Source organism: Homo sapiens, chromosome X, assembly GCF_000001405.40.
Source record: "Homo sapiens chromosome X, GRCh38.p14 Primary Assembly".
Lineage (NCBI taxonomy): Eukaryota > Metazoa > Chordata > Mammalia > Primates > Hominidae > Homo > Homo sapiens.
Window position 1 is genome coordinate 149182165 of NC_000023.11, and position 17709 is coordinate 149199873.

The 17709-nt window shown below is 39.8% G+C and overlaps 4 annotated features.

Moving 5' to 3' along the window:
• Positions 1110 to 1702: an enhancer, noted in NCBI's record as "NANOG-H3K27ac-H3K4me1 hESC enhancer chrX:148264804-148265396 (GRCh37/hg19 assembly coordinates)". NCBI's record gives its function as "activates a minimal SCP1, AML or CMV promoter by ChIP-STARR-seq in naive H9 embryonic stem cells {active_cell/tissue: H9 hESC(naive)}" and the evidence as "EXISTENCE:reporter gene assay evidence [ECO:0000049][PMID:30033119]".
• Positions 16942 to 17031: an enhancer, noted in NCBI's record as "active region_30012". NCBI's record gives its function as "activates an Ori minimal core promoter by ATAC-STARR-seq in GM12878 lymphoblastoid cells {active_cell/tissue: GM12878}" and the evidence as "EXISTENCE:reporter gene assay evidence [ECO:0000049][PMID:35858748]".
• Positions 17062 to 17121: an enhancer, noted in NCBI's record as "active region_30013". NCBI's record gives its function as "activates an Ori minimal core promoter by ATAC-STARR-seq in GM12878 lymphoblastoid cells {active_cell/tissue: GM12878}" and the evidence as "EXISTENCE:reporter gene assay evidence [ECO:0000049][PMID:35858748]".
• Positions 17132 to 17451: an enhancer, noted in NCBI's record as "active region_30014". NCBI's record gives its function as "activates an Ori minimal core promoter by ATAC-STARR-seq in GM12878 lymphoblastoid cells {active_cell/tissue: GM12878}" and the evidence as "EXISTENCE:reporter gene assay evidence [ECO:0000049][PMID:35858748]".

Sequence of the window (17709 nt, forward strand, 5' to 3'; positions counted from 1 at the left end):
ATTTATATTTAAAGTTAATATTGTTATGTGTGAATTTGATCCTGTCATTATGATGTTAGCTGGTGATTTTGCTCATTAGTTGATGCAGTTTCTTCCTAGTCTCGATGGTCTTTACATTTTGGCATGATTTTGCAGTGGCTGGTACCGGTTGTTCCTTTCCATGTTTAGTGCTTCCTTCAGGAGCTCTTTTAGGGCAGGCCTGGTGGTGACAAAATCTCTCAGCATTTGCTTGTCTGTAAAGTATTTTATTTCTCCTTCACTTATGAAGCTTAGTTTGGCTGGATATGAAATTCTGGGTTGAAAATTCTTTTCTTTAAGAATGTTGAATATTGGCCCCCACTCTCTCTGGCTTGTAGGGTTTCTGCCGAGAGATCCGCTGTTAGTCTGATGGGCTTTCCTTTGAGGGTAACCCGACCTTTCTCTCTGGCTGCCCTTAACATTTTTTCCTTCATTTCAACTTTGGTGAATCTGACAATTATGTGTCTTGGAGTTGCTCTTCTCGAGGAGTATCTTTGTGGCGTTCTCTGTATTTCCTGAATCTGAACGTTGGCCTGCCTTGCTAGATTGGGGAAGTTCTCCTGGATAATATCCTGCAGAGTGTTTTCCAACTTGGTTCCATTCTCCACATCACTTTCAGGTACACCAATCAGACGTAGATTTGGTCTTTTCACATAGTCCCATATTTCTTGGAGGCTTTGCTCATTTCTTTTTATTCTTTTTTCTCTAAACTTCCCTTCTCGCTTCATTTCATTCATTTCATCTTCCATTGCTGATACCCTTTCTTCCAGTTGATCGCATCAGCTCCTGAGGCTGCTGCATTCTTCACGTAGTTCTCGAGCCTTGGTTTTCAGCTCCATCAGCTCCTTTAAGCACTTCTCTGTATTGGTTATTCTAGTTATACATTCCTCTAAATTTTTTTCAAAGTTTTCAACTTCTTTGTCTTTGGTTTGAATGTCCTCCAGTAGCTCAGAGTAATTTGATCGTCTGAAGCCTTCTTCTCTCAGCTCGTCAAAATCATTCTCCATCCAGCTTTCTTCCGTTGCTGGTGAGGAACTGCGTTCCTTTGGAGGAGGAGAGGCGCTCTGCGTTTTAGAGTTTCCAGTTTTTCTGTTCTGTTTTTCCCCCATCTTTGTGGTTTTATCTACTTTTGGTCTTTGATGATGGTGATGTACAGATGGGTTTTCGGTGTAGATGTCCTTTCTGGTTGTTAGTTTTCCTTCTAACAGACAGGACCCTCAGCTGCAGGTCTGTTGGAATACCCTGCCGTGTGAGGTGTCAGTGTGCCCCTGCTGGCGGGTGCCTCCCAGTTAGGCTGCTCGGGGGTCAGGGGTCAGGGACCCACTTGAGGAGGCAGTCTGCCCGTTCTCAGATCTCCAGCTGCGTGCTGGGAGAACCACTGCTCTCTTCAAAGCTATCAGACAGGGATACTTAAGTCTGCAGAGGTTACTGTTGTCTTTTTGTTTGTCTGTGCCCTGCCCCCAGAGGTGGAGCCTACAGAGGCAGGCAGGCCTCCTTGAGCTGTGGTGGGCTCCACCCAGTTCGAGCTTCCCGGCTGCTTTGTTTACCTAAGCAAGCCTGGGCAATGGCGGGCGCCCCTCCCCCAGCCTCGTTGCCGCCTTGCAGTTTGATCTCAGACTGCTGTGCTAGCAATCAGCGAGATTCCGTGGGCATAGGACCCTCTGAGCCAGGTGTGGGATATAGTCTCGTGGTGCGCCGTTTTTTAAGCCGGTCTGAAAAGTGCAATATTCAGGTGGGAGTGAACCGATTTTCCAGGTGCGTCCGTCACCCCTTTCTTTGACTCGGAAAGGGAACTCCCTGACCCCTTGCGCTTCCCAGGTGAGGCAATGCCTTGCCCTGCTTCGGCTCGCGCACGGTGCGCACACACACTGGCCTGCGCCCACTGTCTGGCACTCCCTAGTGAGATGAACCCGGTACCTCAGATGGAAATGCAGAAATCACCCGTCTTCTGCATCGCTCACGCTGGGAGCTGTAGACCGCAGCTGTTCCTATTCGGCCATCTTCGAGTTTTTAAATAATTTTTAAGGGTGCAAAAATTTCCTAAACCTACATCATTTGAAAACACTGCTTTGGAAATAGATGTTTAAGCACTTTCTGGAGAAACTTATAAAACTTTAAAGACATTAAAGCAAACTAAATAAATGGAGAAATGGGTGGTGTTCTCGGGTAAGAAGACTTAGCATTGTAAAGATGTAATTCTCTCTAAATTGATCTATAGATTCAAAGCAATTTCAATAAAAATTGCAATTTTTTCCAGGGGAAGTTACACTTATTCTAAATTTTACATGGAAAGAGCAAATGTCTTAAAACCGTCAATACCCTCCTAAAAAAAGAGCAAGGTAGGGAGAATTAGCCTACTTAATATCAAGACATAATTTTAAGCTACAGTAAATAAGACGGTGCAAGATTGTCCCTGGGATAAACAGGTTAGTGTAAAAGCTTAGAGAGCCCAGAAAACAACCTACACATATATGGAAATGCTGTATGACAGAATAACATTGCCGACCATGGGTAGAAACACCATTCAAAATATAGTACTGAGACAATTGGCTATTCACATAAAGAAAAATATAAAATTGAATCCCTATCTCATAGCATAATATAAATTCAATTCTAAGTGGAGTAAACACTTGAATGTGAACTTTAAAAGTATTCAAACTTTTACAAAAATAATACATTTCCAATATAACCTTAGAGTGGGAAAATTTTAAAACAAGTCACAAAAGGCACGAATTATAAAGGGAATGACTAATAAATTCAAATACGTCAAAATTTAGAACTTTGGTTCATCAAAAGACACAATGAAGGGAATAGAAAAACAAGCTACAAGCTGGGTAAAAATTTTTGTAACATATATCACCTACAAATAATTAGCATCCAAAATATATAAACGACTCTTATAAACCACTTAGAAAAATACACATAGCCCAACAGAAAAAAATATATATATAGCACAAAAACTGAATAGGCATTTCCCAGAAGATGAAATACAAATGGCCCATACACTATGGATAGATGCCCATTCTCGTTAGTAATCAGGAGAATGCAAGTGGAAACCGCAATGACATATCATTTTACACACAAAACATTGGCAACTATTAAGAGGTCTGACAAAACTAAGTGTCAGCAAGGATGCAGAGAAACAGGAATTGGGTGCTGCTGGTGGGAGTGTGAATTGGTGTAGCTACTGTGGCATCATAGACATGTACTGCTCATCCCCCTCTGTTTTCACAGGGCCAGACCTGTATTGAGGTCTGAAGCTTCTCTGTCTACACCTCTGTCTCCCCTTTATCCTTCACCATTTCTCCAACAAATCTCTTGAATATCAAATTCCATTCTGGCAGATGCTTCTTAAAACACAAAGTGACTCAAGCTCTTTGGAAAATATCTTCACATTACCTGGTAAGGTTGAACCTGGCATGTTTACAATCCAGTGACTTTACTCCTAAGTATGGCCTAGAAAAATTTATACCAGGAGAAATGTACAAGAATCTTCATAGCAGCATTGTACCAAATAGCCAAAACCTGGAAATAAGTCCAATTATTGATCACTGGCAGAATATGTAAATGAATTGTGGTTTATTCACACAGCCTGGGCTACTTTACAGCCTGGGCTACTCTGTTTATGGCAGAACTCCAGGGAAGGGGGCATTCACACAGGTTAAGAACCCATTACAGATAGATGCATCAACCTGGAAAACCTCAAAAAGGACAAAGTGAATAAAAGAAGCAAACAACAGAAAATTCCCTAGAGTATGATTTCATTCAAAGCCCCAAACCAGGCAAAACTAGACAATACATTGCTCAGGAATGTATGTATAAGCACAAAAACTAAGGGAGGAGTAGGGGTAATTCTATGATTTGGGTATCTTAATTTTTATCTAGAAGATGGGAAAAACAAAGAACAAATGAGTAATCAATACAAATTCCGGAGAAAGGTTACAACTGGGGCAAGGAAGGAGGGACATGGCATAGAGGGGGCTTCTAAATTACTGGTAATATTTCTTAAGGTGGGTGGTGGGTAATTTTTTATTAACTATTATTAGTAGTATTATTTTGTGTGCATGACATACTTCACAATATTTTGAAAGGGCTGGCACCTCCATGCCATAACAATTTAAAACAACCTTTTGGCTTATCTCTTCTTAAAACCAACTCCAATAACTCAGCATATGCTTTACTAGGTCGATGCGTTAAAACTGATTTGGGGAAAGGAAACAATAAGCAGTTGCTAATGACGATGTTCACATTTCTCCTCTTTACATAGTGAACATGTTCTCTGGAGAGCAGAGATAGTCACAACAGATAAAACAGGTGTGCTGCTGGATGCTTTCCTCAAGTCCCAATTAGTCATGCAGCAAAAGAAACACACAAAAAAAGCAGGCCTGTGTTTAAGTGGCTATAAAAGTAATTTTATAGAAATATCATGTGTGAATGCTTCCCTTTCAGAGTCAGAGAATTTGAGGAGGTGAGTTTGTGAGGGAGCTCCCTCACAAGACACGGCTAGCAGAAACAACCCCTTCCTTCTTCCTTCATTTTCACAGACACAGTGCGTGTAGGTGGAAGTGCTTCTTAACCAACCATTGGGCATCACTCTGGCTATGGCCAGATGTAGGAGCTTCATAACAAGCCCTTTAACATTCCCACTGGTCTGGGGTGAAGATGCTCCAGGAAGGTCTCTGTCAGGGACAGGAATGCCCCACCATTGAATGAGAATGGTCCAGAGTAATCCTGAAAAGACGGAATACATAGTTTCAAGCAGTCCAATGGCCCCAACTGCTGTAGTCAAAGGCTCTCCTGTTAACTCCATTTTCCCGGTAATAATACCAAGAAGGCATTTGCAGAATTATCTCATCAAAAGATAAGAAAACATAATGGTGTTTCAACATACGTAATTTTGACAACAATCTCATGAAGCAGATACTTATCAACCCCATTTTACAGGTGAGAAAACTGAGGCACAAGAAGAGAAGTTACATGCCCAAGGGCACTCAGCTTATGAGTGGTATAGGTCTCCTAGCATTGGATCACAGAGCTCATTCACAGTCTCTGTCCCCTGCAGCATGCTACTTTCCATGTTTTGTGGACTGTGAGACCCAAGTCTGTCTTATCCATCCTTCTTTTCCATTCCCACCTACACTCACTTCTCTCAATCAGTCTCTCGGTACTTTTCTACTTGATTATTTGAAGAGCCTTTTGAAGGGTCTCTCCGCTCCCTGTCTCTGGCCTCCTCTGTTCATCCATTACATTGTCCGTTGACTGCCTTCTCTATGTAGCCTCCATGAATCCCCACACCCCATTCTCCTTCCCTGAGCTCCTATGGCATTTTGCTTGAACCACTTTTGAGTAGTGAGTTTGTGCAGCATTGTATATGGCACAACTATATCCCCCAATTATAACACTTCTTATAACATTCTAGGCAATGCAAATGCACTTTTGGCCTTTTTAGCAATCGTGCTAGTTTTAGTCTCAGTGCACAGGAATTAGGAGTCATTCCTACTGGCAATAATTTGAAGCAAAAAAAGAGGGAATAAGAGGTAGAGAAATAAAAAGGGAAGTAAAGGGAAACGCAAAGAAGGAGTTGAGAGTCTTGCAATGAAACCTGAGGAGGAAAAAAAAGAAGTTAAGGAAAGGTTAAACAAGGCCAAGATCAATACACTTGGTCTTGCTGTTTTCCCATGCAGAACCAAAGCCAACAAAGACAGTGGCTGACCCTGCCAAGTGTAGCCTGGTATCTATTGATATAGTGCAGTAGTCCAGACATTAGGACAGTATATTAAGGTGGAAGCATGGGTAACCCCTCTACCACTGTAGAGTGTAGGGCAAATAAAGGTTGTTCAACGGAGAAGGGACCCAGAGATGGAAGTCTCCACAGCCTTAGATCAACCTAGAGGGGCCTTGAACATGATTCATAACCTCAGTCCCCTTAACCCTTTTTTTCATAAGGTCTAGATTTCTTCAGGGAAGAATAATTTTGTGTAATAAATATAATAATAGCAGTACAACACATTTAATATCTGCTGTGTTCCAGACACTAGACTAAATGCTTTCTGTACATTATCCCATTAATCCTCACAACATAAACGAGTTAGGTTAAGAAAGAAAATATCATTTTCTTCATTTCACAACAGAAGTAATATAGGTTTTACAGATGTAGTGCCTTGCCTAAGGCTACACAGTTGTAAGGGGGAAGTTCGGGGATTCTAACACAGAGGGCTGTGACTCTGAAGCTGGTGCCTTCACCCATTAGTCTTTGCTGTTTCCCAGACTGTGCTCCAGGGAGAGACTAGGGTGGTAATGGGGTACACTGCAAGTGTCATGGGAGGCAAGGAAAGGGAAAGACTGTTTCGAACTAAGTAAATCCATGAAAACTTTGAGGAGGAGGTAGGCTTCATTGAAATATATTGTCATTACAGGGGAGCATCTGTACTACTGCACTGTATCAGTAGATACCAGGCTACACTTGACAGGGTCAGCACTGTCAATTTCCTCCAGCCAGACACCATAAGGAGCATACTGTAGTTCAACAAATCAGAACTATTGATTTGTTGCAATGAGGGTGACCACACATCATGAGGAATTGTATGGTGCCACAAGAAGAGGAGGATAGACAGCACTTATAAGATTATCATAGGATCTGGGATTGCATTAAGTGGTTTAGGGAAAGGTTCAATGAAGTGGGACTCTGTTATGGATTGGATGCTGTGAGGAGTGAGGATAATTCTATGATTTGAGTATCTTAATTTTTATCTTGAAGATGGGAAAAACAAAATGAAAATAAGTCTATAACTAGTTAAAAAAAAGTAGCAGTTACTCATATTAGCCAGGATAGTGGGATATTTGGTTGGTTTTGTGCTTTGGACAATGTTTTTGTTTATGCCTGTGCTCAGACTTGTTTACAAGTAATCTTGATCCATCAAAGCCACAGAATGGCGTTATCTGATGTTGATGCTCTGTGTAATTGTTTATGCTTAACCAGAGAACACCAAGGTCTAGTTGTGAATGCTCAACTAGCTTTCAGATGTCAGAGGCTGCTTTTCTCTCTTTTAACACTTAACTTCTGTTCTTAGACCTTCAGTCATGGGTGTCAGCTAGTTAAAGCCAAATAGATACCTTTAATGGGATAATACACACAAGGATGATAACTATCACTTACTGAATGCCAGGTACCATGATAAGTACTCTGTAAACAATGACTTATTTAATTATATGCAATCAAGTAATGTAGTATTAAATATTATTATCTCCATACTTTTTATTATTGTGGTAAAAACATACAACACAAAACCTCCATCTAAACCATTTTTTAAGTGCACGGTACAATAGTTTTAACTATACGAACATTGTTGTACAACAGATCTCTATAACGTTTGAATCTTCCAAAACTCAAACTCAAACTCTGTACCCATTGAACAACTCCTATTTACCTCTCTCTATAGCCCCTAACAACCAGTATTCTACTTTCTTCTTCTAGAAATTTGACTACTTTGGATACCTCATATAGGTGGATTAATGCAGTATTTGCCTTTCTGTGGTTGGCTTATTTCACTTAGCATAATGTTCTCAATAATATATCCTTAGCACAATACTTCATATGGTACAACCTGGATGAACTTGGAAGTTGTACCATATGACAGAATTTTCTTCTTCTTCAAGGCTGAGTAATATTTGATTGTATGTATGTACCACATTTTCTTTATCCATTTATCAATCAGTGGACATTTCGGTTGCTTCCACTTCTTGGCTATTGTGAATAATGCTGCAATGATCATGGCTGTGCAAATATCTCTTTGATATCCTGTTTTCAGTTCTTTCAGATATAAATCCAAGAGTGGAATTGCTGGATCATATGGTAATTCTGTATTTAATGTTTTGAAGAACTTCTGCACTGTTTTCCATAGTGGCTGCATCATTTTACATTCTCAGCAATGGTGCACAAGGATTCCAATTCTTGCACATTTTTCTCAACACTTATTTTGCATTTTTGAATAGTGGCCATCCTAATGGATGTGAAGTGATATCACATGGTAGTTTTGACTTGCATTTCCCTGATGATTAGTGATGCTGAGCATTTTTACATATACTTGTTGGCCATTTATATATTATCTTTGGAGAAATGTCTATTCAAGTCATTTTCCCATTATTAATTGAATTATTTGGTTTTTGTTGTTGCGTTGAGGAATACTTGATATATTCTGGATATTAACCCCATATCAGATATATGCTTGCAAATATTTTCCTTTCTTTCTTTTTTAAAAAAATATTTTATTTTAATTTTAAATTCCTGGACACATGTACAGGACGTGCAGGTTTGTTATATAAGTAAATGAGTGCCATAGTGGTTTGCTGCACCTATTAACCCATCACGTAGGTATTAAGCCCTGCATGCATTAGCTCTTTATCCTGATGCTCTCCCTCCCCTGGCCCCTCGACAGGCCCCAACGTGTGTTTCTCCCCTCCCTGTGTCCATGTGTTCTCACTGTTCAGCTCCCACTTACAAGTGAGAATATGCAGTGTTTGGTTTTCTGTTCCTGTGTTAGTTTTCTGAGGATCATGGCTTCCAGTTCCATCCATGTCCGTGCAAAGGACATGATCTCATTCCTTTTTATGGCTGCATAGTTTTCCATGGTGTATATGTACCACATTTTCTTTATCCAGTCTATCATTGATGGGCATTTGGGTTGATTCCATGTCTTTGCTATTGTGAATAGTGCTGCAATAAACATACATGTGCATGTATTTTTGTAATAGAATGATTTATGTTCCTTTGGGTATATACCCAGTAATGTGATTTTGGGTCAAATGGTATTTCTGGTTCTAGATCTTTGAGGAATCACCACACCATCTTCTACAATGGCTGAACTAATACCCACCAACCATGGAAAAGCATTCCTATTTCTCCACAGCCTCACCAGTAACTGTTGTTTCTTGACTTTTTAATAATTGACTTTCTAACTGGTGTGAGATGGTATCTCATTGTGATTTTGATTTGCATTCCTCTGATGATCAATGATGTTGAGCTTTTTTTCATATGTTTATTGGGTGCCTGTATGTTTTCTTTTGAGAAGTGTCTGTTCCTGTCATTTGCCCACTTTTTAATGGGGTTGTTTGTTTTGTTCTTGTAAATTTGTTTAAATCCCTTGTGTAGATTTTGGATATTAGACCTCTGTCAGATAGATAGATAGATTAGATAGATAGATAGATAGATAGATAGATTACAAAAAATTCCTCCCATTCTGTAGGTTGTGTGCTCACTCTGATGATAGTTTCTTTTGTTCTTTAGTTTAAGTAGATTCCATTTGTCAATTTTTGCTTTTGCTGCAATTGCTTTTGACATTTTTGTTATGAAATCTTTGCCTGTGCCTATGTCCTGAATGGTATTGCCTAGATTTTCTTCTAGGGTTTTTATAGTTTTGGCTTTTACATTTGAGTCTTTAATCCATGTTGAGTTAATTTTTGTATAAGGTATAAGGGATATGTCCAGTTTAAATTTTCTGCATATGGCTAGCCAGTTTTTCCAGCACCATTTATTAAATTGGGAATTCTTTCCCCATTGCTTGTTTTTGCCAGGTTTGTAAAAAATCAGATGGTTGTATATGTGTGGTGTTATTTCTGAGATCTCTATCCTGTTCCATTGGTCTATGTGTCTGTTTTTGTACCAGTATTATGTTGTTTTGATTACTGTAGCCTCATAGTATAGTTTGAAGTCAGATAGCATGATGACTCCAGCTTTGTTCTTTTTGCTTTGGATTGTCTTGGCTATGAGGGCTCTTCTTTGGTTCCATAAGAATTTTAAAGTACTTTTTTCTAACTACATGAAGTATGTTAATGGTAGTTTAATGAGTACAGCATTGAATCTGTAATTTACTTTGGGCAGTATGGCCATTTTCATGATATTGATTCTTCTTATCCATGAGCATGGAATGTTTTTCCTTTTGTTTGTGTCCTCTCTTATTTCCTTGAGCAGTGGTTTGTAGTTCTTGAAGAGGTCCTTCACATCCTTTGTTAGCTGTATTCCTAGGTATTTTATTCTCTTTGTAGCAATTATGAATGGGAGTTCTTTCATGATTTGGCTCTCTGCTTGTCTATTGTTGGTGTATAGGAATGCTTTTGAATTTTGCACATTGATTTTTGCATCCTGAGACAGCTCAAGTTGCTTATCAGCTTAAGAAGCTTTTGGGCTGAGATGATGGGGTTTTCTAGATATAGGATTATGTCTTGTAGAGTTTCTGCCAAAAGATCCGGTGTTATCCTGATGGGCTTCCCTTTGTGGGTAAAACAACCTTTCTCTCTGACTGCCCTTAACATTTTTTCCTTCATTTCAACCTTGGTGAATCTGACAATTATGTGTCTTGGGGTTGCTCTTCTCGAGGAATATCTTTGTGGTGTTCTCTGTATTTACTGAATTTGAATGTTGGCCTGCCTTGCTAGGTTGGGGAAGTTATCCTGGATAATATCCTGAAGAATGTTTTTCAATTTGGTTCTGTTCTCCCCGTCACTTTCAGGTACACCAGTCAAATGTAGATTTGGTCTTTTCACATAGTCCCATATTTCTTGGATGCTTTGTTAATTTCTTTTTACTCTTTTTTCTCTAAACTTCTCTTCTTGCTTCATTTCATTCATTTGATCTTCAATCACTGATACCCTTTCTTCCACTTGATCGAATTGGTTACTGAAGTTTGTGCATCCAGTCTGCCTTACAAGAGCTCCTGAAGGACGCACTAAACATGGAAAGGTACAACCGGTACCAGCCACTGCAAAAACATGCCAAATTGTAAAGACCATCGAGACTAGGAAGAAACTGCATCAACTAATGAGCAAAATAATCAGCTAACCTCATAATGACAGGATCAAATTCACACATAACAATATTAACCTTAAATGTAAATGGGCTAAATGCTCCAATTAAAAGACACAGACTGGCAAATTGGATAAAGAGTCAAGACCCATCAGTGTGCTGTATTCAGGAGACCCACTGACATGCAGAGACACATATAGACTCAAAGTAAAGGGATGGAGGAAGATCTACCAAGCAAATGGAAAACAAAAAAAAGCAGAGGTTACAGTCCTAGTCTCTGATAAAACAGACTTTAAACCAACAAAGATCAAAAGAGACAAGGCCATTACATAATGGTAAAGGGATCAATTCAACAAGAAGAGCTAACTATCCTAAATATATACGCACCCAATACAGGAGGACCCAGATTCATAAGACAAGTCCTTAGAGACCTACAAAGAAACTTAGACACCCACACAATAATAATGGGAGACATTAACACCCCACTGTCAACATTAGACAGATCAATGAGACAGAAAGTTAACAAGGATATCCAGCAATTGAACTCAGCTCTGTGCCAAGTGGACCTAATAGACATCTATAGAACTCTCCACCCCAAATCAACAGAATATACATTTTTCTTAGTACCACATCACACTTATTCCAAAATTGACCACATAGTTGGAAGTAAAGCACTCCTCAGCAAATGGAAAAGAACAGAAATCACAACAGTCTCTCAGACCACAGTGCAATCAAACTAGAACTCAGGATTAAGAAACTCACTCAAAACCACACAACTACATGGAAACCGAACAACCTGCTCCTGAATGACTACTGGGTAAATAACGAAATGAAGGCAGAAATAAAGATGCTCTTTGAAACCAATGAAACCAAAGACACAACATATCAGAATATCTGGGACACATTTAAAGCAGCATGTAGAGGGAAATTTACAGCACTAAATGCCCACAAGAGAAAGCAGGAACGGTCTAAAATCAACTCCCTAACATCACAATTAAAAGAACTAGAGAAGCAAGAGCAAACAAATTCAAAAGCTAGCAGAAGGCAAGAAATAACTAAGATCAGAGCAGAACTGAAGGAGATAGAGACACAAAAAACCTTCAACGATTAATGAATATAGGAGCTGGTTTTTTGAAAAGATCAACAAAATAAATAGACTGCTAGCAAGACTAATAAAGAAGAAAAGAGAGAAGAATCAAATAGACGCAATAAAAAATGATAAAGGGGATATCACCACCAATCCCACAGAAATACAAACTACCATCAGAGACTACTATAAACACCTCTATGCAAGTAAACTATAAAATCTAGAAGAAATGGATAACATAACTTCCTGGACACATACACCCTCCCAAGACTAAACCAGGAAGAAGTTGAATCCCTGAATAGACCAATAATGGGCTCCAAAATTGAGGCAATAATTAATAGCCTACCAACCAAAAAAAGTCCAGGACCAGACGGATTCACAGCCAAATCCTACCAGAGGTACAAGGAGGAACTGGTACCATTCCTTCTGAAACTATTCCAATCAATAGAAAAAAAGAGAGAATCCTCCCTAATTTATTTTATGAGGTCAGCATCATCCTGATACCAAAGCCTGGCAGAGACACACACACAAAAAAAGAGAATTTTAGACCAATATCCCTGATGAACATCGATGCAAAAATCCTCAAAAAAATACTGGCAAACTGAATCCAGCAGCACATCAAAAAGCTTATCCACCATGATCAAGTGGGCTTCATCCCTGGGATGCAAGGCTGGTTCAACATACGCAAATCAATAAACGTAATCCATCACATAAACAGAACCAAAGACAAAAACCACATGACTATCTCAATAGATGCAGAAAAGGCCTTCAACAAAATTCGACAGCCCTCCATGCTAAAAACTATCAATAAACTAGGTATTGATGGAACATATCTCAAAATAATAAGAGCTGTTTATGACAAACCCACAGCCAATATCATATTGAATGGGCAAAAACTGGAAGCATTCCCTTTGAAAAGTGGCACAAGACAGGGATGCCCTCTCTCAGCACTCCTATTCAACATAGTGTTGGAAGTTCTGGCCAGGGCAATCAGGCAGGAGAAAGAAATAAAGGGTATTCAATTAGGAAAAGAGGAAGTCAAATTGTCCCTATTTGCAGATGACATGATTGTATATTTAGAAAACCCCATCATCTCAGTCCAAAATCTCCTTAAGCTGATAAGCAACCTCAGCAAGGTCTCAGGATACAAAATCAATGTACAAAAATCACAAGCATTCCTATACACCAATAATAGACAAACAGAGAGCCAAATCATGAGTGAACTCCCATCCACAATTGCTTCAAAGAGAATAAAATACCTAGGAATCCAACTTACAAGGGATGCGAAGGACCTCTTCAAGGAGAACTACAAACTACTGCTCAACGAAATAAAAGAGGACACAAACAAATGGAAGAATATTCCATGCTCATGGATAGGAAGAATCAATAATGTGAAAATGGCCATACTGCCCAAGGTAATTTATAGATTCAATGCCATCCCCATCAAGCTACCAATGACTTTCTTCACAGAATTGGAAAATACTACTTTAAAGTTCATATGGAACCAAAAAAGAGCCTGCATTTCCAAGACAATCCTAAGCCAAAAGAACAAAGCTGGAGGCATCATGCTGCCTGACTTCAAACTATAGTACAAGGCTACAGTAACCAAAACAGCATGGTACTGGTACCAAAACAGACATATAGACCAATGGAACAGAACAGAGGCCTCAGAAATAACACCACACGTCTACAACCATATGATCTTTGATAAACCTGACAAAAACAGGCAATGGGGAAAGGATTCCCTATTTAATAAATGGTGCTGGGAAACTGGCTAGCCATATGTAGAAAGCTGAAACTGGATCCCTTCCTTACACCTTATACAAAAAATAATTCAAGATGGATTAAAGACTTACATGTTACACCTAAAACCATAAAAACCCTAGAAGAAAACTTAAGCAATACCATTCAGGACAGAGGCATGGGCAAGGACTTCATGACTAAAATACCAAAAGCAATGGCAACAAAAGCCAAAATTGACAAATGGGATCTAATGAAAAAACTAAAGAGCTTCTGCACAGCAAAGGAAACTACCATCAGAGTGAACAGGTAACCTACAGAATGGGAGAAAATTTTTGCAATCTACCTATCTGACAAAGGGCTAATATCCAGAATCTACAAAGAACTGAAACATTTTTACAAGAAAAAATCAAACAACCCCATCAAAAAGTGGGCAAAGATTTGAACAGACACTTCTCAAAAGAAGACATTTAGGCAGCCAACAGACACATGAAAAAATGCTCATCATCACTGGCCATCAGAGAAATGCAAATCAAAACCACAATGAGATACCATCTCACACTAGTTAGAATGGCAATCATTAAAAAGTCAGGAAACAACAGGTGCTGGAGAGGATGTGGAGAAATAGGAACACTTTTACACTGCTGGTGGGTGTGTAAGCTAGTTCAATCATTGTGGAAAACCATGTGGTGATTCCTCAAGGATCTAGAACTAGAAATACTATTTGACCCAACCATCCCATTACTGGGTATATACCCAAAGGATTATAAATCATGCTGCTGTAAAGACACATGCACACGTATGTTTATTGCGGCACTATTCACAATAGCAAAGACTTGGAACCAACCCAAATGTCCAACAATGATAGACTGGATTAAGAAAATGTGGCACATATACACCACGGAATACTATGCAGCCATAAAAAAGGATGAGTTCATGTCCTTTGTAGTGACATGGATGAAGCTGGAAACCATCATTCTGAGCAAACTATCACAAGGTCAGAAAACCAGACATGGCATGTTCTCACTCATAGGTGGGAACTGAACAATAAGAACACTTGGACACCGGGCGAAGAACATCACACACCAGGTTGTGTCATGGGGTGGGGGGAGAGGGGAGGGATAGCATTAAGAGAAATGCCTAATGTAAATGATGAGTTAATGGGTGCAGCACACCAACATGGCACATGTACACATATGTAACAAACCTGCACGTTGTGCACATGTACCCTAGAACTTAAAGTATTATAATAATAATAATATAAAAACACATAACAAAAAGGGATTATATCATCTACAAACAGAGGTTGTTTGACTTTTTCTCTTCCTATTGAATATTCTTTGTTTCTTTCTCTTGCATGATTGCCCTGGCCAGAACTTCCAATACTATGTTGAATAGGAGTGGTGAGAGAGGGCATCCTTATCTCATACTGGTTTTCAAGGGCAATGCTTCCAGCTTTTACCCATTCAGTATGATATTGGCTGTGGGTTTGTCATAAATGGCTCTTATTATTTTGAGGTATGTTCCATCAATATATATTTGGGATAGTGCATATATATTTGGGATAGTTAGGTCTTCTTGTTGAACCTTTTCCCATTATGTAATGGTCTTCTTTGTCTTTTTTTTTATCTTTGCTGGTTTAAAGTCTATTTTGTCAGAAACTAGGATTGCAACCCCTGCTTTTTTCTTTCCATTTGCTTAGTAAATTTTCCTCTATCTCTTTATTTTCGGCCTATGTGCGTCTTTGCACGTGAGATGGGTCTCTTGAAGAGAGCATATCATTGGATTGTGCTTCTTTATCCAGGTTGTCATTCTGTGTCTTTTAATTGGGGCATTTAGCCCACTTACATTTACATTTAAGGTTAATATTGTTATGTGTGAATTTGATGCTGTCATCATGATGCTAGCTGGTTATTTTTCAGATTTGTCAATGTAGTTGCTTCACAGTGTCATTGGTCTTTGTACTTCAGTGTGTTATTTTAGTGGCTGGTAATGGTTTTTCCTTTCCATATTTAGTGCCTCCTTCAGGAGTTCTTGCAAGGCAGATCTCGTGGTTAAAAATTCCCTCAGCATTTGCTTGTCTGAAAAGGATTTTACTTCTTCACTTATGAAGCTTAGTTTGGCCAGATATGAAATTCTGGGTTGGAAATCCTTTTGTTTAAGAATGTTGACTATTGGCATCCAATCTATTCTTGCTTGTAGGGTTTCTGCTGAGAGATCCACTGTTAGTCTGATGGGTTTCCTGTTGTAGGTGACCTGGCCTTTCTTTATGGCTGCCCTTCACATTTTTTTCCTTCATTTCAACTTTGGAGAATTTGATGATTATGTGCCTCAGGGTTCATCTTCTCATGGAGTATCTTTCAGAGAACTGGAGTTATCTGAATTTCCTGAATTTGAATGTTGACCTGCCTTACTAGGTTGGGGAAGTTCTCTTGGATGATATCCTGAAGTATATTTTCCAACTTGGTTCCATTCTCCCCATCTCTTTCAGGTACCCAATCAGTTGCAAGTACAGTTTTCTTTACATAATCCCATAGTTCTTGGAGGTTTTCTTTACTCCTTTTCATTATTTTTTCTCTAATCTTGTCTACCTGTCTTATTTCAGCAAGATAGTCTTCAAGCTCTCAAATTCTTTCCTCTGCTTGGTCTATTCAGCTATCGATACCTGCGGTTGCATTTTGAAGTTCTTGTGCTGCATTTTTCAGCTCCACCAGGTCATTATCTTCCTTTCTTAACTGGTTATTCTGGTTAAAAGTTCCTGTAATGTTTTATCATGGTTCTTAGCTTCTTTGTATTGGGTTAGAACATGTTCCTTTAGCTCAGCAAAGTTCATTATTACTCACCTTCTGAAGCCTACATCTATCAACTCATCCATATCAGCCTCTGCCCAGTTCTGTGCCCTTGCTGGAGAGGTGTTGCAATCATTTGGAGGAGTTGGGGCACTCTGGCTTTTTAAGTTTTCAGTGTTTTTTCATTGATTCTTTATCATCTTTGTGAGTTTATCTAGCTTTGATCTTTGAGGCTGATGACCTTTGGATGGGGTTTTTGTGGGAACTTTTCTGTTCATGCTGTGGTCGTTGTTGCTTTCTGTTTGTTTGTTTTTAACAGTCAGGCCACTCTTCCATAGATCGGCTGCAGTTTGCTGGGGTTCCACTCCAGACCCTATTTTCCTGGGTCCCTCCCACACCTGGAGGTGTCACCAGTGGAGGCTGCAGAACAGTAACAACAGCTGCCTGATCCTTCCTCTGGAATCTCTGTCACTGAGGCACCAACCTGATGCCAGTAGGAGCGCTCCTACGTATAAGGTGTCTGGTGACCCCTGTTGGGAGATCTCACCCAGTCAGGAGGCATAGGATCCAGAACCTGCTTAACGAAGCACTCTGGTTACTCCTTGGCAGAGGGGGAGCACTGTGCTGGGGGGAATCGCACTCATCTGGACTGCCTGGATTCCTCGGAGCCAGCAGGTGGAAAGACTAAGTCTGCTGATACACAGAGAATGTGGTTGCCCCTTCTCTCAGTGACTCAGTCCCAGGGAGATCAGAGGCCCTGGTGGCATGGGCTCACAAGGGGGATCTCCTGATCTGTAGGCTGCACAGATCTGTGGGAAAAGTGTGGTTTCCCAGACAGGGTAGCATGATCTCTCACTGCCTCCCTTGGCTGAGGGTGGGAGTTCCCCTTGCCCCGTGTGGCTCCCAGGTGGGCCGTCACACCACTCTACTTTTCCTCACTCTTCATGAGTCACACCAACCACCTAGTCAGTCCAAATGAGAGAACCTGGATACCTCTGTTGACGATGCAGGATTCACTTGCCATTTTGTTCTTCTCTTCGTGGGAACCTCCGATGACAGCTGTTTCTAGTAGGTCATCTTGGCCCCTTGACTTTTGTTTTTAATTCTGTTTATGTGGTGTATCACATTTATTGACGTGCATATGTTAAACCAACCCTGCAGCCCTGGTATGAAACCCACTTGGTGATGGTGGATTATCTTTTTCATACGCTGTTGGATTCAGTTAGAATTTTTGGAGGATTTTTGCATTTATGTTAATCAGGGATATTGGTAGGTAG